At 43.0% G+C, this 25,253-nt stretch overlaps 1 protein-coding gene across 2 annotated transcripts in view; it reads left to right on the forward strand.

Moving 5' to 3' along the window:
- TBC1D19 (TBC1 domain family member 19) overlaps positions 1-25,253 on the forward strand; it is a 282,243-nt gene that overhangs the window by 231,363 nt on the left and 25,627 nt on the right. Inside the window, exon 23 of one of the 2 annotated variants that reach the window (XR_001741277.2) lies at positions 5,642-6,290. The exons of the other annotated variant lie outside the window; for it this stretch is intronic. The gene's annotated coding sequence lies outside the window, so the exon portion shown is untranslated. Of the gene's footprint in view, positions 1-5,641; positions 6,291-25,253 lie in introns of those variants that run through there. 2 annotated transcript variants of the gene reach the window in all.

Raw genomic sequence — 25,253 nt, forward strand, 5'->3', positions numbered from 1 at the left:
GGCTCCCAGCCACTGCTGACTGCAAAGCTGAAGGGTACATTTTTGCAAGAGACATCGTCATGCCGTCATTGAGGACCCAAAAAATGATTCCTCTGAGTGCATTTATGCTTGTTGTGTTTCTAAAAATAACAAGCATGGGTTTTCTTAGCCATAATCCATTAGCAACCTTTATTGAAGCAGAAGAATATGGAATGTGGAGTCAGATGATACTATCCATCTGCAAAGTGATGACGTACACAAGTTCCCTGGCACGTAGTAGGCATCTAATGATTCTAGTTCTGTGAGTCTCCCTCTGCGTAAGTAGATTTTACATAGAACTGCACAGTTATGGAGCTAAGATATTCCCACTTTAGGTCACCTCTAAGATGACACATTAAATCAAATCATTATTATATTAAGAAATTTGAAGCTGGCTGGGCGCGGTGGCTCACGCCTGTAATCCCAGCACTTTGGAGGCCAAGGTGGGTGGATCACAAGGTCAGGAGATTGAGACCATCCTGAACAGGGTGAAACCCCTTCTCTACTAAAATACAAAAAAAATTAGCCAGGCGTGATGGCAGGCACCTGTAGTCCCAGCTACTCGGGAGGCTGAGGCAGGAGAATAGCTTGAACCCGGGAGGTGGAGGTTGCAGTGAGCCGAGATCGTGCCACTGCACTCCAGCCTGGCGACAGAGCAAGACTCTGTCTCAAAAAAAAAAAAAAAAAAAGAAAAAGAAAAAGAAATTTGTAGCTAAGAGGGACCTCTAGAAATCATGGCTTTGGTAACTGACTCCAAGTACCAACTAAGCTATTTCAAAGATGTCATAGTAAAGATGAATAATGTGGTCATTGCTGAGCAGCATTGACTTGCTGTTTCTTGGGAAGACATGATGTAAGAAAGAGAACGCTGGACTCTGAATCCAAAGATAAGATTTGAACTCTTGGCTCAAACAGAGGGTGGATATTAGCACCTGCTCTGCCCAGCTGATCAATTATTTTGTGGCAAAAGGAATACAGGGTCAGTGAAAAGTGATTGTAAATGGTAAGGTGCTCACAAATAAAAGACATTGTTGGGTAAAGTTGTGCTTTGCCATGAAGTGATGAGTTTTCTGGCAGTGTAGAAGCTGGTCTGAATAGGGTAGGTGAAAAGCTACTCTGCTGTGAGAAGGGCATGTTGGGTCTTCTCCATCTGCCCCTCCAGGTGAGCTCTCCACTTCTCTCCCTGCTCTGTGCCCTGCAGACGCTTCTCTCAGGACAGACCATGTTGCTAGGGCTTCCTTGGCCTCTGTTTTTCAGTTCCTATGGCTGAGGGACTGGACAAGAGAGGGGACACTGTTTCTGCCTTCGGTTCCTGCCAACAAGCTGTAATTTGGCAGGGCTGCAGTTTTCTACCTAAGACCACACTCCTATTGGGCAGGAGAAAGAGGTTGTTGGGAAACCTCTTTCCCTTTTTCCCTCAACTTCCCTCAAAAATGTTCCCTCTTTCCCTCAACTCTGGCTCTCACCCTATTCCACCAAGTAGGTTAATTGGGAGGTGATCCCAAGAAGGACTACTTAGGGTAGTAGGGAAGTGGATCAGAAAAGGAAGGAGCAAATGTGGCCAATACAGGGTGCACTGATGAGCAGGTGTATGGCTGAGCAGCTCAGCTGAGACCGCTGGGCAATGGTGGGGAGCCAGCCTCAGAGTTATCACACCTGAGCGGTGAGAAGGCCGGGTTCCCTCCTCTTGGGGCCTAGAAGGATTAGCTCCTGGTGCTTCCCCTGCCCAAGCCTCTGTGAATCGTCCCTTCATCAAACTCTCTTCCATTACCCCCTTGAGCATGCCACCTCTTTACGGTCCTGACTCTCATAGCAAGAGCCAATAATGTTTTTCCACATTATTCCATCTGAATAACCAGATGTGGCAGACGCTGAGCCCCACTGCACCCTATCACTCACTGTTCTTGTACATGGCCAGGGGCCAGGGCTTCTTCAGACACCCAGCGCTCTCTGCCTGTGTGTTCTCTCCAGCTGGCAACTCCTTCTTGCCCTCACACAGGGCAGGCCACAGTGATGGGGAATACATGCCCCTGAGAGCAGCCTCCAAACAATGGCTCCTCCACCCTTGAGTAGGATGTCTCTGAAGCATGTCTTACAGTTTTCCAGCAATCTGAGCCGAGGTGCTCACAGCAGCAACCTACTGATCAATGCACCCTGTATCAGCTGCCTTCTTTTTCCTGACCCATTTCCCCTCACTCCCCCAGTAGCTCTTCGGATCATCTCCCAATGAACCTACTTGCACTCGAATCTTTGTCTCAGAATCGCTTCTGTGGGAACTCAACCTCAGATACCAGGTAATTGTATCTTGACCTGTGACATAACTGAGTGCCTCATCTATCCAGGCCACTTACAAGGCACCATGGACTAAACTCTCTAATTCTTTAGCAAGGTTTGCAAGACCCTGTATGATCAGGCCTCTTCTCCCCATCCAGCTTGACCCTTCTCTGGTCCTATCTTTGCCACATTCTTGCTTGACCTTCATATAGCAGCCACAGTCAGTTCATTGCAGTTCTCGGGACACATTCTGACCCTCCAACTGCTTGCCCTGCGCCATGCTGTTCTCCGTGCCAACAGCATCCTTCACCCACCATTCATTAGCCCACCTCCCACTTGTCCTTGAAGATTCAGCCTTCCCTGACCACACCCTATGAGCACACACCAAGTCTGGGTCGCACGTCCCTCTTCTGTGCTATCAAGCCATTCTGTTCTGATGCTGCCTATTTTCTCCCACTAGACAGTAAGTTCCAGAATGCAGGAACTCTATCTTCAAATCCCAAGCCTAGCACCATACTACATGGGGTAGGTTTTTAACTAAATTCTTGATGAATTAATTTTTTTGAAGTAAGTGAGTAGTGTAAATTAATTCCACCACTGTGGAAGACAGTGTGGCAATCCCTCAAAGATCTAAAACCAGAAATACCATTTGACCAAGCAATCCCATTACTGGGTATATACCCAAAGGATTATAAATCATTCTACTATAAAGACACATGCACACATACGTTTATTGCAGCACTATTTACAATAGCAAAGACTTGGAACCAACCCAAATGACCACCAACAATAGACTGGATAAAGAAAAGGTTACACATATACATCATGGAATACTATGCAGCCATAAAAAAGAATGAGTTCTTGTCCTTTGCAGGGACATGGATGAAGCTGGAAGCCATCATTCTCTGCAAACTAACACAGGAACAGAAAACCAAACACTGCATGTTCTCACTCATAAGCAGGAGCTGAACAATGAGAAGATATGGACGAAGGGAGGGGGACATCACACAATGGGGCCTGTCGTGGAGTGCTGGGTGTTGTGGGTGCCAGAGTGGAGAGAAGGCAGCAGTTACTGACTCGTGAAAGAAGTGAGCATTGACTTTGAAGGTCATGAAGGACGATATAAGTGAGCAGTGGAATTGGAGGTGACGAGGAGCATGGAGAAGAGTAGTCCAGAGATAGTGTTACCAGAAATCGGTCCCGATCCAGACCCCTAGAGAGGGTTCTTGGATCTCATGCAAGAAAGCATTCAAGGTGAATCTATGAAGTGAAAGCAAGTTTAATATGAAAGTGAAGGAATAAAGAATGGCTACTCCATAGGCAGAGCAGCCCCGAGGGCTGCTGGTTGCCCATTTTTGTGGTTAATTCTTGATGATATGCTAAACAAGGAGTGGGTTATTCATGTGTCCCATTTTTAGACCATATGAGGTAACTTCCTGACATTGCCATGGCATTTGTAAACTGTCATGCACTGGTGGGCGTGTAGCAGTGAGGACAACCAGAGGTCACTCTTGTTGCCATCTTGGTTTTGGTGGGTTTTGGCCGGCTTCTTTACTGCAACCTGTGTTATCAGCAAGGCCTTTTTGACCTGTATCTTGTGCCAACCTCCTAACTCATCCTGTGACTTCGAATGCCTTAAGCATCTGGGAATGCAGCCCAGTAGGTCTCAGCCTTATTTTACCCAGCTCCTATTCAAGATAGAGTTGCTCTAGTTCAAATGCCTCTAATGCTTCAGAGCCCTGAGCACAAATGTCCTGAGGAAGGACATTTCTGAATCAACCTGGGAAATGAGGAATGATCTGGGCCAGCAGGAACACAGGGACCTAGCAGAGCCTTGGGAGGCAGCGAGGAAGATGTGAATGGGGGTGCTTCCTCTAGCCACCTAGACTTGGTCCCAAGGCACATGACTTTGCTCATTGTTTAATAGATGGACCCTCCCCCAGCACTGCCATCTTTCCTTCCTTCCTCAGCTTCCTCTGTTAGTGGGTGAGGCTTCCTGTTAAGTCGTTCTGAGAACTGCAGTTTTCAGAGCTTTGGAGACCAGGAATGCCTGCCAACGCAATTACCATGAACGATCCCCACGGAATTCCAAGAAACAATTCCTCACACTGCTCACCTGGGCATTCCGGAGAGCACCAACCCTTCAGATGGATGGAGCCCCAGAGAGGTTCTCTTCACTTTCAGGGACCCACCCTTTATTAACATAGCAGTCAATGCCACACAGGAAAAGGAGTGTGCAACTCTGCTTTTAGTCAACAAAGCCACATTGTAACTACCAGTGTGCTTACTATTTAGAGGAATGCTGCTATGAATCATTTCCAGGACAAATCCTCTTTTTGCAAACTAAATTGCCATCCTCTTTTATCTTTTAATTAATAATATTTAAAGCTATATAAGGTAAATTACCCATTTTTCTGGTATTCAAAAAAGGATATATATATAAAAAATACATATATACATATATAAATATACATATATGAATGTGTGTGTCTATATATGTATATATATGTATATATACAATTTGATAGTAAAAGAAAGACTATACAGGGACAACCAGCATTCATAATAATGACAATAAAATGCCATAAAATCCTAGAATATCAGGCCAGGTGTGTTGGCTCACATCTGTAGTCTTAGCACTTTGGGAGGCCCAAGGTGGGAGGATCCCTTGAATCCAGGAGTTTGAGACCAGCCTGGACAACATGATTAGGCCTCATCTCTAGAAAAACTTTTTAAAAATTAGCCAGGTGTGGTGGCTCATGTCTGTAGTTCAAGCTTCTTGGGAGGCTGAGGTGGGAGGATCATTTGAGCCCGGGAGGTTGAGGTTGCAGTGAACAGCCTCACTGCAGAGGCTCGCTGCAGAGACCTGAGATCACACAACTGCACTCCAGCCTGGGTGACAGAGAAAGACCCTGTCTTAAACAAACAAACGAAAAAAAAGAAAAGAAAAGAGGAATACTTGAATATCTTTTGAAAAATAGAAAACTGTTCAATAATCTCTTATCCCTCCTTCACAATTCCAAAATCCTAAAAATTCTGAAATCCAATTTTTAGGGGCAAGTTTAGCCCCAAAATTCATGTAATAGCAATCACTGACCTAAATTAATGAGAAGTTATTTATAGTTATTATTTAGCTCACTTACAGTACATAAATGCGAATGCGTTTTTTTATAAAGTGCTGTCTTAGACCCTGCTGGGGTGTGCTACATAATATATAGTTTATATCCATGGTGTTCTTCTTGGAATACAAAATATTACGAATTTTAGAACACATCTGGCCCACAGAGCTTCAGATAAGGTACTGTGGGCTGACCCTGTACAAATTATGTTTAACTGAATTTTGTGTTAGGTATTTTTCAGGGTTTTCCAGTTTTGTGGAAGCCAAAGTGCCAGCTCTTCCTTTTCACAGCCTCACTCCTTCCCCGCGCCTCTCCTGGATTCTACTCCATTGCCCAGGGAGGCAGCCCATGAGGATGGCCTCATGCCAGCAGGCTTCCCTGATGGCCAGTGGGAGGCTCTGGCTGAAGAACTGAGGGCCGGGAGAACGGTAAGCTGGGGTGTTTCCTCCCCACTTCAGTGCCTGTCACTGGCACCGCCTGTCTCCCTCCTCATGCCAGCTCCTGCCAAGCAGCCCGACTTCACACTCCAACACTCAGAGAGTGGAGAGCACCATCAGCTCTTAGAGGTAGTAACTGCTCCCCACTCTTGCAGGCCTCTGGGCACCTTGATCTTTGTTTGTTCTCGGTACCCAGCCCACACCTCGTAAGCAGCCCCTCCATTTGAGCCTCTCCATTTGAACCAGCAACACATCCAATAACAGATACATTGGTAGACCACGGTCCCTGTAGTGCCCTGTAAAACGCACTGATTTTAAATCAAGAGGCTTGAATTGAGGATGCAAGTCACTTTACTTTTCTGTTTTCCTATCTGTAAAAAGGAGCTAATAATTCCTATTTCAGAGTGTGCGGTGATAATAAACAAATTGATATATGTGAAAATGTCTAGGAAACTCTTAAGAAATGCAAGGAATTCAAGAGCTCTTGAGAAAGTAGAATATTTATTATTCTGATTGTCCCCCAACTCTTCTGGGTAAAAGGGTGTTTGCTTTATTTAAAGGTAAGTATAACAATGCCCTACTCTGAGATCAGACGTGGCTACAGATGACTAGAAAAGGAAGGTCCTCTCTTCTTTCCAGCTGTCCTTTGCTGCCTGTGCTTAATTTCTATCTGCCTTCTGTGAGTGCCTTGGGCAGAAGCACAGTGCTTTAGTCTTATACTGATCAATCTACTTTTCCTTTTCCATCCTCTGCCATTCTGGAATCATCTGGGGCTTCATCTTTATGTCCTTCCAAATCTTTAGCATTTTGTCCAGTGTTTTTATAGCTTTATCTGCTTTAGAATTTCATGCAGCCAGGCATGGTGGCACATGCCTATTATCCCAATGCTTTGGGAACCTGAGGTGGGCAGATCACTTGAGGCCAGGAGTTCAAGACCAGCCTGAGCAACATGGCAAGAGCCTCGTCTCTACAAAATTTCAGAAAGTTATCTGGATGTCGTGGCACGCGCCTGTTGTCCCAGCTATGTGGGAGGCTGAGGTGGGAGGATCACCGGGACCCAGGAAGTTGAGGCTGCAGTGAGCTATGATTGCACCACTGCACTCCAGCTTGGGTGACAGCGTGAGACCTTGTCTCAAAAAAAAAAAAAACCAAATAAATAAAGTCACATTCTTCCCTAGAGCATAAAGCAATAATTTTTAATAACAACTATATCACTCATTAAAATTATCTTCTCCTTCTCATCCCAACACTGTGTCAAACAGGAATCTGCTGTGGATGGCATTTGCCAATAAGAAATTGTGGCTTTGGCTTTAGAAAAATCCAGATCAACTTTTTGTGGCCAAAATTCACCAGAAATATATTTAACTCTCTCCTTTCCTTTAATCACAGAAGCTTGGCCCAAAATGCTGATCTTTCCTGGAGCTGGCCATTCTAGCATTACATGGGTGTTCCCCATAGAAGAGAACAATCAACAAGATTAAGTTACTCTTGAGTTCTTAATTGATTTTCCAGAACTTCCTCTTACTACCACAAAACACAGCTTTCTGAGCAATGCATTCAGTTGAGCCTAATCCTGTTGGGAACTTTAGTGAACAAGACACATTCTGGAAATAAACATGATTTCACATGTAAATAACTGATACTCTTGACCTCCCCAATAACCCTTACCAGGCTGGTGCCAAAACAGGTTCTGTGTTCATGTTACACACTCTGAGAATGGTTTAAATGCTCTTCCTCTCCAGAGTTTTGTTGTACAAAATATGTACTAGAAAAAAAGAGGCCATTCTGACAGGACTCGTCAGTGCCTTGACATGAAAAGATTTTGGTCAGGCTAATTACAGTAATTGTATTTAGTCATTCTGACTTGGTATAATTTCCTGTCTTGTCGGTAATGTATAGTTACACCTAAACAAAACAGAGTTAATCTCTTTTAAGTAAGAGATGGCATGGCTCCTTTGTAGTGTGCGTATTAACCTAAATGGGAAAGCCTACATAGGACTAGGTTCTAGTTCAGGAACACTCCTGCCTTGGAATACCCCCCGAGGGCCTGCAGAGCGAATGAATGCTCCCTGTGTGTGAGTTCCACAGAACTGAAGCACCATTCAGAGGAGTTCTCTCCACAGGCCTTGTATCAAGGGTCAGGAAACTTTTTTCTAAGGGCCAGGGAGCAACCCTATAAGGCTTTGTGAATCACGTGCCTTTGGTTATACCTCTCAACTGCCATTGTAGTTCAAAGGCAGTCACAGACACTAGGTAAGGAGAAGATGGGCATGGCTGTGTTCCAACAAAACTTTACCTATAAAAACAGGCTTTGGGCTAGATTTTACCCAGGGGCTTGTAGCTTGCCATCCCTCACTTTACTTTTTTTATGGAGCAATTGCTACATTACACCGCAATTATCTGTGATTTGCCTGTCTCCTCCACAAACCTACGAAGATTCTGCACTGTGAAATGTTTTCACAAAAGAAGTCCAATCATTGGGTAACCCATTGTAAAAATAACTGATTCTGGCAGAGGTTTTCAGTGGATAAGAAAACAAGTGGGAGAGTTTAATGAAAAACAGGATATTTGCATAATCCCCAAATATCACCCCACAACATGCATATAAATTCCAAAGGGGGAAAATCGTAAATTTACAGTGGAAAAACCTGGCAGAAATCCCGTCAATCAAATGATCAAAGTTAATATACCTGATAATGTGATAAACCAACACCAGGTACCTCTGTGGGATTCCTGCTAAAAATAAATAACTTGGATTCAATCATGAGAAAACATCAAACAAACCCAGGATGAGGGGCATTCTACATATTAAGTTGGTGCAAAAATAGCTGCAGTTTTTACCATGACTTTTCATGGCAAAAACCACAATTACTTTTGCACAAACCTAATACATGTCAATATCATGAAAGACAAAGAATGAGGAACTGTTCCAGATTAAAGAATGGAAAAAAAGCTGGGTGTACTACATTTTAGTAGTATAAAAGTGGTGCCTGCCTGTTCAAAAATATTCCAATCATATGAAATTTTTTTAAAGTTAAAAATAAAAATCCCCACTCTCTGAGACAAAACCGCTGAAAATAACTTGAATTTTGGGCTTCTAGATTCTACGTGCTTCTGGGTCCCTCACTATGCTACTTTAGTAGGAGCAGAGCGATGTACTATCAGGCATTTTAACAAGTTCACCGGCTGATGCTTATGCTCTTTACTCTAAAGCTTGAGAGACCTCTTGTCTTTGACCTTTCTGTTAACACAAATTGTGTGTGTATGCATATAGTTTTGCACATACACTCTTGTAGAAATTAAACTCATACCCACATGCCTAAATGGAATCCACAACCAAACTGAATGCTGCCTGGCTATCTTGACTCAATGATCAGTCATTGATACCCCCTCTCCCGCACCCCGCCGGCAGCTTAGGCAGCAACAGCTCATACTTTTACACAGCTGTTTAATATTCCCCAGAAGGGATCAACAAACGTCCTTTAACCAACCCCCACTAATAGGCATTAGTGTTGTTTTCAGTTATTTAGAGCTGGTTTTGGATCCCACCTTGCCCACTTGGTAGTTGCGTGCCCTTGGAGGAGCTGTTCAACTTTTTTTACAACTCACTTTTTTCCTGCATCTGTGAAGCTAGGCAGTCTCCCCCAGGTTGCTGTGGGGTTTGGAAGTGTTTAGCTGAGGGAAAGTGCACAACATGGTGCCCAGCACAGAATCAATCAGGGATTCAATAACAGCTGAATTTCACTCATTTTCTGACTGGTCTCATACTTTGTTTAGGGTCTAAAATATGGTATTCTAGGCTGGGCATGGTGGCATACACTTGTAATCCCAGCACTTTGGGAGGCTGAGGTGGGCGGATCACCTGAGGTCAGGAGGTCAAGACCAGCCTGGCCAACATGGTGAAACCCCGTCTCAACTAAAAATACAAAAATTAGCCGGGCGTGGTGGTGCGTGCCTATAATCCCAGCCACTTGAAAGGCTGAGACAGGAGAATCTCTTGAACCCAGGAGGCAGAGGTTGCAGTGAGCCAAGATCATGCCACTGCACTCCAGCCTGGGTAACAAGAGTGGAAACTCCATTTAAAAAAAAAAAAAATATATATATATATATATATATGAATAGTATTCTAAGACAAAGTCCCAGTTCTCCAGCTGGGATACTGTGGGGGTGTGGTTTGAAGTCCAGGCACCTGCCATGTGAATGGGGCTCTGCTTTTTGTAGTGCCAACTCTGGGCCACTGTGTGTACTGCCACAACACAAAAAAACAAGTTCAAAGCTGCTTTGGAGAACACATCTTCAAACGGTGTTGGAATTTTTTCTTTCAATTTTTATTTTTATTTACTTGTTTATTTATTTTTGAGACAGGGTCTTGCTCTGTTGTCCAGGCTGGAGTGCAGTGGCACAATCAGTGCTCACCGTAGCCTTGTCCTGCTGGGCTCAAATGATTCTCCTTCCTCAGCCTCCTGAATAGCTGAAACTACAGGCATGCACCACCATGCCTGGCTAATTTTTTGTATTTTTTGTAGAGATGGGGGTGGGAGTTGCCAGGGAGAAGGGAAGGTCTCACCATGTTGCCCAAGCTGGTCTCGAACTCCTGGGCTCAAACAGTCCGCCTGCCTTGGCCTCCCAAAGTGCTGGGATTACAGATGTGAGCCACCGCGGCTGGCCTCAATGTAAAATTTTGACATAATTTCAGACATATAAAAGATGCAAGAAGAGTACAGATTCTTTACTCGTATTCCCCAAATGTTAACATTTACCACACTTATTTTATATCTACACACACAAACACACATTTTTGTCCTGAACCTTTTTAGAGTCAGTTGTGGCTACAATGACGAACTCTTCTCAGTTTGTCTGGGACTTTCCTGATTTTAACATTGAAAGTACTGCATCTAGGACCCCCAGAAGTCTTGGGCAAACCAAGTCAATTGGTCACCTTAGTTGCCCAGGTACCCGTAAATACTTCAGTGTGTGTGTACTAAAATCAAGGACATAACCACTGTATAATTATCAAAATCTGGAAATTAGCTGTTCTGGAAAAATGCATCCTTCCTAATGTCAGGTGCAAGGTAAAGCCCAGGGCTTAGCTTATTTGTGCAAACACTGTCTATGCTTCTGGAAACAATGGTTGTGGTATCCCCAAAGAAGTGGATGCCAGGGAGACCGACACTCAACAGGCAAAGGCAGGTAGTGACTTCCTGGGGCAGCCGCTGGAAGCAAAGACAAAAGAAATCCCCAGCGACTAACTGGTTCCTAAAACAAAAGAGTAGCTGACCTTTTCTTTTTCCCTTTTGTGTTTGTGAGCAGCTTGCTTTCACCTGGGGTGTCTGTTTCCTCTCCCAGGGCAGTGGCCCCTGAAGTTTGGGCACCAGTGGGGTGTGAGCTATCAAGGTAGTGAAGGTAGGACGTCCCCTGGTGGGAATGACTGCTGGGCATCTGCCAGTGTTCCTGTGCTCCTGGAGTCCTGCTTCAGCTCTGGGGTGGTTTTGCATCTGTTTCCCCTCAACAGAGAGGGGAATGGTGGAGAGAGGAGGGAAGCATCCACATGGACACAAGAAAGAATTGATGGTCTAAATGGATCCAGCATCTTGTCATTTCTCATCATCTCTACCACATATACCCTGGTCCAAGCTGCCACTGACTCTCTCCCAGATGATGGCAACAGCCACAGTCATCATCATGGCAAAAGCTATGGCTTCCCTGCCTCTGCTCTTGTCACCTTTAGTCTGTGCTCAACATTGTGACCACAGTAATCTTGTTAACCTTGAAATCAGATCATGTCACACTTCTGCCTCCAGGGGCTTCCCATCTCACTCAGAGTAAATTTCAAACTCCTTACTGTGGCTCATGAGGCCCTACCCAGTATGGCTCTCAGACACCTTTCTGACTTTATCAAATACTAGTCTCAGCCCTGGTCACCCATCTACAACTGCCCTTGCCTCTTGCTATTCCTCAAGCTACTCAAATATCTCATGACTCAGAGCCACCGTGCTTTCCCTTCCCTTGACCTGGAATGCTCGTCCCTCAGATATCAACATGACTTTCTTACTCACCAATTTCGGTCCTTTTCTCAAATAACCCCTTCTCAGTGAGGCCTTCCCATTCCTACTCTAAAATTGCAAACTTCAACATTTTTCTCTCTGCTTTGCTTTTTAATGGACAATAATTACATATAATTGTGGGGTACAATGTGATGCTTTGATCTATGTGTACATTGTAGAAAGATTCATTCAAGCTAATTGACATATCCGTTATCTTAGTAACTTACTTTTTGGAGGATGAGAACATTAAAAATCTATGCTTTTAGCAATTATGAAATATGTGATACATTGTTATTCACTATGGTTACCATGCAGTACAAGAGATCACTAAAACTTATTCTTGCAGTCTGAAACTTTGTACTGTTTGTTCAACATCTTTTCTTCCCCATCTCTTCCCTTCTCCACCTGCCCACCCCTATCCTCCAACCTGGACCCTAGCTTTTGGCATCTTTCTACTCTATTTTTATGAGATTGACTTTTCTAGAGTCCACATGTAAGTTGAGATCATACAGTATTAGCCTTTCTGTGCCTGACTTATTTCGACCAAGCATAACATCCTCCAGTTCCATCATGTTGTTGTGAATGGCAGAGTTTCCTTCTTTTTAAAGGCTGTATAGTATTCCATTGTACATAAATACCACATTTTAAAAATCTATTTATCCATTGATGGGCACTGAGGCTCTTGTGAATCATGCTGAAATGAATGTGGTAGTGCAGATATCTCTTTGACATACCAATTTCAATTCTTTTGGATATATGCACAGAAGTGGGATTGCTGGATCATATGCTAATTCTATATGTAGTTTTTTTGAGGAACCTCCATGCTGCTTTCCAAAATGGTGGTACTAATTTCCCTCTCTCTGTTTACTTTTCACCATAGCACCTACTCCATAAAATATATTATATGTTTAACTCATTTGGTGATCATCTTTACCCCCATTAGACTGTAAGCTTCATCAGTACAGGGATTTGTTTTCACAGCTGTCTTCTCAGTGCCCAGAACATCACCTGGAATACAGTGGGCATATAAAAATATCTGTTGACTGGCTACCAAATGAATGGTATTCACTCGACTCAGCTTTCTGTATCCCTCTGGCCCCTACACTGCATTTAGTGTAGGGATGCATGGGTGCCAATATGGCGCCTGGAAGAAAGGACGTTTGCAATCAAGCATGCACATGAAGAGCAGTTAGCAGTTCCAGACTGTATGAAAGCTTCTCGTGTCCTTGCCACACTTTCTTTTGAGGGTCTCACCCCACATCTTAGCAAAGATATTTAAATGCTCCTCCCTTCCCCATGAAACAGAATTTTGGCTGAGATTTTTTCAAAGGAGTATCATAGTTTTGTCTTTGAAATCATTTGGCAAGGAACAACTCATTGAATTTTCAGTTGGCTCTGATTCTCTGCAGTCATCATGCACACTTGAAGTAAAACAAAATCTACCATTAACATTGTTTTCAAATGTAATGAAATTTTTCTAAATAATTCAACAGTTGATCACATAAGTGTAATTCTGTGCTTTGTGGGCATTCATGTAAACAGGTATTTATTTTAACAGGTTTTGTAGTACTCCTTGTGTGTTTGAGGCAGTAATTATTTTCCTTTGGGATTTAGCCATGTTTCTGGGCTCTTGAAATCTCACAGGACCTAGATCTTGGACCTGGAAAATTAGGCAGATAAAATAGTCCTGCAAGAATGAGAGACTGGAGAAAGGTCTCCCTGCACTTGCCTGCGAATGCAGGTCCTGGCCCAGTGGTTCAATGGTGGGGCTGTCCTGTAACTGTGCCAGGGAGTCAGAAGCCATGGCGGGGCTCACCGTGGTCATGCTGGAAGTCCCTGTCCCTGTCTGCTCATCACACACAGGTCAGCAGGTACCCGTTCTTTATGTGTGGCAGACCTCTGGTGGCCAGGCGGACCACTTTTCTCCACGGCCCTTCTCTCTCCACTTCCACCTGCATGCTCTCCTGAGCCCTGGTGGCAGAAATGTTTTCCTTGACATTTTATGACACTTTGGCAGAATTCTGTTGACTCATCTAAGACAAGATGGGGAATTGTTCTGCAGCAGTCGCCACATGGGGAAACAGATCACTTAGTCACATCATCTGCCAAGCCCCGCTGTTGCCTGTGCAAAGCATTTCTAATCACGGAAACTTGAAAGCTGTCCCTCATTTGTGATGACATTAGCCATGGTGATTTTTTACCCCTGTCTTAAGCTGTCAGTCGCTGGGGTTTTCTTGTTACTCTCTCTGGCAGAGACACATTTATTTATCACACAAAAGCCTGGCTCTGAAGGGATTTGTGCAAACTTCCTTCTGGAGATGAAAAGAAAACATCTCCTTCCTGGCCTGTGCCATCTACTGAAAAGCTTTCCAAGCCAAATGTGAGTGACTGTCCTAGTGGACAGATGTCACCCAGAGCAGGCCTGAATCATTTTGTTTGTTTTTCTTGCTAACCCAACACGACTTTGAACCCACTTCATTAATAAGAGAGACAGGAGCACGAAACCCTTTTTACTTCCTGCTTTCTTCCCAGTGTGCTGACATTTCCAAGCCCCATATGTTTCCCTAAATAAAGTTCCATGGAAATATATATTTTTTTGAAAAATCCTGTTTTTGGGTTATTACAGCCCAAGAGGAAAAAAGGCTGCCAGTGGACTATGTAGGGCCCTTTACGTAATGCTATGATTGTTTCGACCCCTCTTGATAACAGCAGGCTCGTTTAAATGGTTAACGTTGAGATGCGGTTGAAGACCTGTAATAAATGTATACTTCTTCATTTAGGCAAGTACATTAGCTACAGTCAATCTGCAACAGCGGGGAAGCACTAAGCCACAAACAGGAAATAGTTTGAATAAATATTTCCCATTCTAAAATGAATGACTAGATAGAGTTTAAAACATGTCAGACTCTTGTAGAGACATGATAGACATTTGCTGGTTACCTCTCCAGCAGGGATCCAGTCCCACCCTTCCCCACCTTGATTTTCCTTGGGATCACTCTACCCTTCCACTCTCAATAGTGGTCCAGACCAGACTGACCCTGCCCAGGAGTAGACTGTACTTGACTCAAGCTGTATTAGTTTGTTTCCACGCTGCTAATAAAGACATACCCAAGACTGGGCAATTTACAAAGAAAGAGGTTTAATGGACTTACAGTTCCACGTGGCTGGGGAGGCCTCACAATCATGGCAGAAGGCAAGGAGGAGCAAGTCACATCTTACATGGATGGCAACAGGCAAACAGAGAGAGCTTGTGCAGGAAAACTCCCATTTTTAAAATCATCAGATCTCGTGAAACTTATTCACTATTGCAAGAACAGCGGGAAAGACCTGCCCCCATGATTCAATTACCTCCCACCGGGTCCCTCCCACAACACGTGGGCATTCAAGCTGAGATTTGGGTGGGGATGCAGCCAAAACATATCTCAAACCCATCCATGTACCTATTCCTCAGGCCACATTGATTGGTCAGGGATGGGTTTGTGATACAATTTGGGTTAATGAGAGAGGTGACAATAACAGTGTTTCTGTGGAAGATACACAGAAGAGATTCTCTGTTCCCAGACCACACCTAGAGTGAAGTGAAGATGTGGGGTGTGGAATTGCCAGAGCAATTTGCTACCATGGGGAGAGAGCCCAGAGTTGCGGGGGCCTTTGTGTGGAATCTGGAGATGGGTCTGTCACCAGTGGAGAGATGATAAGAGCCATATCCTGGGTGGCTTTGACCCACTAGAAGCCAGTCTTGCCTCTGGACTTCTCAGCTAGGTGAGCCAATAAATTATCTTTGCTGCTTAAGCTTGTTCTAGGTTTTCTGTCACTTGCAACCACAAGAGTCCTAAGTGATTTAAGGTTGCTAACACTCTTTCTAGCCAGACCTTAGGCAGCATCTAAAGAAACTGAAAGCTTGTCGTCAGTGTATTTTTGTTTCTTTGTTATGGTTTTTACCTCTGCAGGATTCCTCCCCTCTTCCTTCTTTATACAGAACCCCACTGACTCTTAGTGAGCCACCCGGGCTGACTGCCTGACCGCTGGCTCCAGTGATGGGCACATGGCCCAGGCATAACTAATAGGGCATTCCATTCACAGGGCTATTTGATTGGATCAGGGATGGGTGCATGATCCCAAGATGGCCAGTATAAATAAGATCCAGGAATTTATTTTAACTCTTACTTAAAAGACAATTGGCTGGATTTGCTGAGGGAAGATTTAAACATCTTTGTGGACATGTTTGCCACCACATGGGGAGAGCATTCCTGAACATGCAGCAATAGAGAACAAAGACGAGAGATAAAGAGATGATAAGAGAAGGACCAAGTTCTAGCAACAGTGCGTGAGGCCTGAATCCAGCCATGCCGGAAGCATGTGAAGCAGTAACTTCGTTCTTATTAAGACAACTGCAGCTGGATTTTCTGTCATTTGCAGTTTCAAATGTTGACTAACACAGATATGAAGTATCTTTTCACAGTAATATATTTCTCTCTATCATAATATTCTTATTTTCTACTAGTATAAAACTAATGAATGCTCAATGCAGAAAATCCAGAAAACAAACAAACAAAAATAAATAAAGCAAAATTCACTTGTAGTCCTATGACTCTGAAATTATGACCGTCAGCTTCTGAGTGTATGTCCTCTGGGTCTTTTTCGTATGCATATTTATGAACTTCTACAACATAGTTTCCACATTATATTACTGCACTACAATTTAGTTAATTCCTTCTTTTTAACAGTGGGGTCATTTTCTTTCTTTCTTTCTTTTTTTTTTGCTATCATTTACTTCTTAGTATTATGAACATCTGTGTTGATACATCTTTGCACATATTTCTGGACATTCCTTAGAATAAATTCACATGGCCATATGCATAGTAAGTTCTTCATTAAACTTTTTCCAATTTTGTATTCCACATAACATTTAAGCAAACATGTTTATGCATTCCTTTGTATAGAATAAACTTCTAGAAGTACAATTGCTGGGTACAGAGCATGCCTGTTTAACGATATACATTGCCAAACTGCTCTGCAGAAGGTTATTTAAATTTATAACAAGGCAGCTCTTCCACACACACTGGATATTCCTGTCACCTCAATTACTAGACGAATGTTTTCTTTTTATGTTTGTTGGCTATCTATATTGATATTTTCTTGATTTGCCTCTTCATTTGCAATAATTTAGGATTTTTTTTTTTTTTGAGACAGAGTCTCACTCTGTCATCAGGCTAGATTGCAGTGGCACAGTCTTGGCTCACTACAACCTCCAGCTCCCTGGTTCAAGCGATTCTCCTGCCTCAGTTTCCCGAGTAGCTGGGACTACAGGTGCACACCACCACGCCCAGCTAATTTTTGTATCTTTAGTAGAGATGGGGTTTCACCAAGTTGGCCAGGATGGTCTCAATCTCTTGACCTCATGATCCGCCTGCCTTGGCCTCCCAAAGTGCTGGGATTACAGGCATGAGCCACCACGCCTGGCTGATTTAGGATTTTTAAACTTTTCTTTCAGGAGTAACTAGGTATATAAGGGCATGCCTCATTAGTCAGTAATTTTTATTTTTTCAATGACATTTTCTTTAATTTTTCAACATTAAGAAAAAAATCCAGGCCATAGTGAATGTAGTTTGGTTGGAAACACTCATTGTTCACTGTTTTGAAGATTTGCTGCCAATTTTCTCTATCAGTGACCTGCCACAAATTAGTTAAGTAGCATGATCTGAGAGGTGCTATTGTGTGGTTATACTAGTTAAGTAAAAGGGGTTTGGAGCCAGACTTTTGGGTGCAACTCCCAGCCCTACCACTTAGTTGTGTGACATCAGAAAAATTACTTAAAAATCTCTGTGCCTCATTTTTCTCAACTGTAAAACAGGGTTAATAGTATCTCCTTCATAGAATTGTTATAATATCAGTAGGATGAATAAGGCCATTGAAACAGGGCCTGGTCCAAGTTAAGCCTGCAATAAACATTAACTATTAGTAATGGCATATGAAAATAGCTAAGCTGGCCGGGCATGGTGGCTCACGCCTGTAATCCCAGCAGTTTGGGAGGCTTAGGCGGGCGAATCATTTGAGGTCAGGAGTTCAAGACCAACCTGGGCAACATGGCGAAACCCCATCTCTACTAAAAATACAAAAATTAGCCAGGCTTGGTGGCATGCACCTGTAATCCCAGCTACACAGGAGGCTGAGACAGGAGAATTGCTTGAACCCAGGAGGCAGAAGTTGCAGTGAGCTGAGATCGTGCCATTGCACTCCAGCCTTGGTGACAGAAAGAGACCTTGTCTCAAAAATAAAAAGTGAAAAAAAAATTCAAAGATCATATTTTTGTAATAAAAGAACAATTTAATTCCCACTGCACATAGGACTTCGCATTCTGCCTGCCCATTGTTTAACTCTAGTATCAGGGAATTCCTGCCCAGCTGCTGGATACATATTCAGTGACAGCAATAATCATGAATAGAAGGATATTTCAAACAGTTTAAAGTTGATTTATATTTGTGCCCTTACTGTCTGCTCATAGTAGGTGAACATTATTTAGAGGGGGGAAAAATAAGTGTCATTATTACTAAGTTTTAAATTCTAAACAAAGAGATCATTCTTATTAAGATATTAGAGCTGTTACAAACATAAAATGCTTCTCATCTCTCTCCAATATACCTTTCAAAATTCTCTCTTTGAAAATCATTGTTATAGATGATGTCCGCGTGTATTTTGTTAGATTGAGTTTAGATCAATATTCCACAACCCTAACAATGAATAGAGTCCAGTAAAGTTTGGCCTAATGGCATTTCAAGGTCTATAACTGTTGGCGAGCAGGAAAGACTACTGTTTTAACTTCATGAGGGTTACTGCCCCGGTGGCGGGTGGATGTTTATAATGGTTCCGGGTGTGGGTGGTGACGTAGATTCAGAGCATGGAGGAAAGTGAAGTGCTATTAGCAATAAAAGATAAACCCTTCCAGAAATAATAACTGTTATGAAACCGGAAAGAACCTCCCAGCCGTGCAGTTCAACCCCCTACTGAGATATGAGGCGAGGCAAGTCTCTCCCCTAAACTGGTTACATAATATTTTTTTCCTCAGGAGGTTTCACTACCTCTTTTATAAACTGTTAATGTGTTTATTGAATCGTATCATGGAGAAAGGAAACTAATGATTAACTTTTAACCATGATAGCTTGGCCTTGCCATGATACTTCTGGTGAACTGATGGAGACTGCTCTTCCATAGCCTTTCCTGGCTCCTTAACACAAATTCAATCACAGTAAGTGGCAAATGCTTATAAAGATGGAAAACACTTTATTTTCATCTTCACTTAATTAAAACAGCCAACTTTAAAGGTATTACTGTTTCAGGAATCTCTCTTCTTCATCACCAAATCTATCCTTTGGGTCAAAATCATCAGGCATTGGCAGGCACAGTGACTCACGCCTGCAATCCAATCATTTTGGGAGGCCAAGGGAGGCAGATCACTTGAGGCCAGGAGTTCAAGACCAGCCTGGCCAACATGGAGAAACCTCGTCTCTACTAAAATACAAAAATTAGTCAGGCATGGTGGCAGACGCCTGCAGTTCCAACTACGCAGGAGGCTGAGGCATGAGAATTGCTTGAATCTCGGAGGCAGAGGTTGCAGTGAGCCAAGATTGCACTACTGCACTCCAGCCTGGGCGAGAGAGCAAGACTGTCTCAAAACAAAACAAAACAAAATCAGGCTGGCACTCACCTACTCAGCCCTAACTTCAAGCAAATGTTTTTGAGGATGGAACCAATTTATTAGAGCTTTCTTTTTTTGTTTTTTGTTTTGTTTTTTTTTTTTTGATAGGGTCTTGCGATGACACTCAGGCTAGAATGCAGTGCCTATTTACAGGTGCAATAATGCACACTGCAGCCTCGAACTCCTGGGCTCAAGCAATCCTTCTGCCTCAGCTTCCTGGGTAGGTGTGAATACAGGCATGTGTGCCGCTGTGCCCAGCTATTTTATTAGGCTTTGAGATTAACGTAGGCCACCTGACAAATCCATATCTGAAAATACTTAAAATAGCTTTGAAATGGTTCCTCTAAGATCTCGTTTGGCAGATGCTTTGACAGCTATGGGGTTAAAGGGTAGATGGAAACTGTCCAGAACCGCCAGTCAGAACTCCCCAGCTCTGGCCCTGACTCTGGCTTTCCTTAGGCGTGTAGTCCCCAGGAGGCTTATGAAGTGCTCTGAGCCTTGATTTCCCCTTCTATTAAATGGGCTTGTCAGAGGACCAACAGGCTGTGAGTTTGAACACAAGGGATGCCCATTCTGATCACCACCCTTAGGTAGACTTAAAGTATGTCATTGAAGAACATGAATTTCAGCCTCTTAGGCTCCAGCTTCAACTGCCTTAGAAGGAGGCAACATGACCTGTGAACTCTAGCTTGGCCTAAAGGAGGCTCTTCTGGTAGCCTTGCTAGAACTCCGTTACTGGAGCAGAGCCAAAAAGAAAGTACTGAGACAACTTTGGCTGTTTCATAGAATGTTGGAGCTGGTAGTTTTGTGTTGAAAGGTTATCAAAAGGAGACCATTTTGTCATTTCCAAATCATCTTTGGACTAGCCTGTGCTTGAATGGTAAAATACTTGATGAAATGACATTTTTAAAACTTCTAAGACACTGCTCCCCAAATCTATGCACGTCCAAGTATAGTGCAGTAAAGTAAAGCGGTTGAGAGTGTGGGCTCGGGAGCACCCCCATCTTCAAATCCTGCTTTTGCCACTTATTAGCTGTGTGACCTTGAACAAATTACTTGACCACTCCGTGCATCAGTTTCTTCATTGGTAAATAGGGATAATAAAAGTACCTACCTTCTAAGACTGTAAGGAAACCCTGATAAATTAACAAATACAAAGGACTTAGCACAGTGCCTGGATGTTGTAAGTGCTGTGTTTAACGTTAGCCCTTACACTAGGGCTTGGTCATTGGTAGGCACTGAGTACATGTTAGATTTTACTGGACTGTTTTAGATGGTGGAGGCTGTGATGCAGGAGAATGGAAAGAACTCAGGAAGGGAGATTAGGACAAATCCATTTAGTTTATATTCCTTAGTCACTGTATTTACAACTTTTATCAAACCAATTATCTTTCTTAAGAGCTATGGACTTTGCTTGGGCATCCACAGATGCCCAGAACTCAAGATTGGAAGGAAACATGAAGCTCAAATAACAAGTAATTAGAAGGAGCTCACTTTGAAAAATATGTTTGCTTTCAAATGGAGCTTTAAATGAGCTCATGGGAAGTTTATTATAAAACGGTTGCCTGCACCAAATGCCTTAATGGGAAAAACCTTATCGCAGTTCAGTTGTTTAAATAATACACAGACCATGTCCCTCCTGAGTCTCTGTTCTCGCTGTGGGAGTCAAAGTTTCTTTGAATGTCCCAAAGTATTCCAAAGCAATCACAAAAACACATTTCAGATTTAGAAGGGAATTTAGAAATCTCTCATCGTAAGCCCTCTATAGCTGAAGAAACATCCCCAAAGGGCTAGAATGATTTGCCCAAGGCCACTTAGCAACTGGCTAAGCTCAAATCAACACCCACTTCTTTAACTCCTATTTCAGGGCCTTTTCCTCTAACTCATCTTCAGTCTTGGGTAGGTGTTAGGGAGGAAAGGAAGCTGCTGCATGAAGATGTGGAATTTTCCCATTTTTCCCCTCTCTCACACAGAAAAAGGGATAAATTGATCACATACCTACAGAAACAATTATAACTGAGCTGAGAAAGTGTCTAGGCTAAGCAATGAATCTGAATCACCAAGTCTTCAAAGTAAAAGTTTATTAGAGGCAGGTAAGGTTTGTTCATTTGTTTTTTACCTCATCAGGACTAAAACCTGTTGCTATGTTGAGTCCTGGCAGCTTTTTGTGATACATGTGGACAAAGAGCATGGCTGACCATCTAGCAGTGGGGTTTTGCATTCCCGGAATGACTTTAGTAAGCAACGTAAACTGATATAGGTGTCAGCCCAGTGTGCTCTGGTAAGACAGGGCTCTCCAGTGGGGAGGCATCTTACCTTCGGGGAATGGCAATGGCTTCTGCACCCCTTCCATGCCTATAAAAGAGTCCAGGAGCCATCAGGAGCTGGATTTGAGGGATTAGGGCCTTAGTGATTTGTCCATTCCATCGGGTTATGGTTTCCTGACCCACAGTGTCCATGGCCCATAAAAGTGTAAGAAGTTGAGCCTACCAGAGCCATACTCAACCTCACATTTGAATTTGGAGGAAGATTACATAACTGTTTACTCAACTTGACTGGCACTTGCAAATTACCCCCCCTTTTTGCCTTTGAATAAGTAATGCGTATATGCAAACAATAAACACCCTTGAATGACCAGGACTCTTGAGCACTGTGGGAGACTCTACTGGGTGGTTCCCAGCTCCCATCTTTAACTTAGCTGGGTTATCTTCATATTGCTTTAGTTCCTTTAAGTGTAGGTGACATCCCACCTCTGCAGACTTGATGTTCCTGCAAAACCAGTGTCATTGCACACTACTAGTGGGGAGATGGAACTGAAAGGGATCAAGACCTTGTAATTAGAAGTGGGGCGGGGCTGGGGTGCTAACAGAACTCTCAGAGTTACACAGTGTTTGCATATTTCTGGGATTTTTTTCCCGTCTGACCTCTGCAGTTATCTTCTGTTACTGGGTATCTCCTAACCACCAGATTGAAGCTTCTACAATTCAGAGGCTCTCAAAGTTTTGGTTTCTGCCTATGATTACAAAGAACCAGGGCCCAAACTGGCATCTTTGACCTGAAAACTCTTTAAGGCTTCGTGTTTTATAAAATAAAGTGATTGAGATGTGATTGTATGAATGCTGGAACTGTCCTAACACCTCCTGTGTTCCTGTCCTCAAACTGGTTAATGCCTGGAGTTCTGCCTATAGAGACTCATCCTTCAGTAAAGGAGTAATTTGCCTGGACTGAACACGCTAGCCTCAGACCTCTGCGAGCTCTTGAAACTATACACACAGTTTGAGTGAAGTGTATATGCCCATTTTTAGCCCTGAGGAGAGGATATTTAGATCTTTGCAGATACCCAAAAGGGTCTATAACTCACCAAAAGCTTAAGAGTGATTGCTTTTTCCAATAAATTGTTTTAAGTGATTTATTATTTAGGTTGCATGTGGACATACACGCAGACACAAATTTCATATATCACAAAGAGGGCCAACTGGAAACTTTGCCTAAGGTTTTCTCTAGGGAAAAAACCTCTATAATCTTATTTTTTTCCTATTTTAATTGAAAATAAAATCTGTATACTTATGAGGGAGATGATCACACTGCAGATGCTATGTCTCCATTTTCATCTTCAAAAATAAGGAGGCCTGGTGCAGGACTGATGGGAATTCTGAAACTGACTCTGAGAAATGCAATCTCTTAAAGCAGCGGTCATCAAACTTTTCTCAGAAGAGTTAGATAGTAAATATTTTAAGCTTTGCAGGACAGGTGATCTCTGCGGCAACTACACAACTCTGCTGTTACAGTAAAAAGAAACAAAAAAGGCAGCTGTAGACAATATGTAAACAGATGAGTGTGATGGGCTTTCAATAAAACCTCATTTGCAAAACCAGGTGGAAGGCCAGATGTGACCCATGGCAGCAGTTTGCTAATCCCTTTATTTTCCTTTTTCTTTCTTTCTTTTTCTTCTTTTTTTTTTTTCTTTTTTTTTTTTTGAGACGGAGTCTCTGTTGCCCAGGCTGGAGTGCCATAGCGTGATTTTGGCTTACTGCAAGCTCGGCCTCCTGAGTTCAAGCGATTCTCCTGCCTCAGCCTCTCAAGTAGCTGGGACTACAGGTGCATAGGTGCATGCCACCACGCCTGGCTAATTTTTTTGTATTTTTAGTAGAGACGGGGTTTTACCGTGTTAGCCAGAATAGTCTCAATCTCCTGACCTCGTGATCTGCCCACCTCGGCAGATCAAAGTGCTGGGATTACAGGCTTGAGCCACCACACCCAGCAGCTAATCCCTTTCTTAAAGGTTTAAGGATGCTATTGATTGAAATTGGTAAGGCTCCCATATCTGCCATGTTCATGATGTGTACCAACTTCAAGCTGCTTTGCAAAAACAAAATACCTGATCGTATTGTCCTGTTGGTTGTTGTGTTGAAATGAAAATAATTTCAACAAATATTTCCACATGCTGGGCAAGCTGTGGGTGATGTTAAACACCTAACAGTTAAAATCAAGAACTCCACATGCCAAATCTTCCCAGGGGATAAGACAAAAATAAAACTATATTCTTTAAACTATGATTTGTCTTTTCATGCAACTCAAGGAAATCAGATTTTTTGGCAAATGAGTGCAGTAAAACAATCCTTTTGCCCTAAGGCCTCACTCTGGGTGGGAAATCCTTCCCTGATCCTCCACAGGTAGAATTCTGTTTTTTCTGGAAACCGGATACCTTTTAGAATCATAGACTCTGGCATTGCAAACACATGCATGTTGGGCCTGCCAGGCTTCAGGCTGTGGCTTGTCCAACTGGGGAGAAAAAAAGAAAATATAATGCTCCAGAAGTCTACAGCTCCTTTCCTTTTCAAGACAAAAGAGTAGAAACACCGGTCCTCTTATTACTTGTCACATTTGGAATAATTAGACATTCTATCTTCCTGTTTAATGTTTAGTTTTACATGCTGTCTGGTTAGAACATTTCATATGTGTACAATAACATCTAGTGAGGTTTTAACAAATGACTTCAGAGGAAAAAGAGGAAGGAGCTGGACTGGACACCAAATGAATGAAAGGCTACCAAAAAGTTCATCAAAATCAAAACCACTCTTCTGGATGAAAACATACCCCCTCGACTATAATCCCATCACTTTGGGAGGCTGAGGCAGGCAGATCACTTGAGGTCAGGTGACCAGAGACCAGCCTGGCAAACATGGCAAAACCCCATCTCTACTAAAAATACAAAAATTAGCTGGGCTTGGTGGCATGTGCCTGTAATCCCAGCTACTAGGGAGGCTGAGACAAGAAAATTGCTTGAGTCCAGGAGGTGGAGGTTGTAGTGAGCCGAGATTGAGCTACCGCACTCTGGCCTGGATGAGAGAGCAAGACCCTGTCTCAAAAAACCAAAAACAAAACAAAACAAAAAACAAATATACCACATAAAAATCAGTGAGTGCTGAGTCAACAAAAGGAAAACAATCAAAATGTAAGTAAGCTCTGCCCACTGCCATCAAGGAGGTGAAATCGTAGTTGCAGACACACACACAGACAAGCGAAGAAAGACTTTACATTGCCAGGTAACAGATATATTTAGGTTGACATGAGGAATCAGACTTCACAAGTGCCAAGCTAGAAGACGGCACAACAGAAAAATCAAGGATGCAATGCATACACAAGAATCAGCAGGAAGAAAGGG

The sequence above is a fragment of the Homo sapiens genome, chromosome 4, assembly GCF_000001405.40.
Source record: "Homo sapiens chromosome 4, GRCh38.p14 Primary Assembly".
Lineage (NCBI taxonomy): Eukaryota > Metazoa > Chordata > Mammalia > Primates > Hominidae > Homo > Homo sapiens.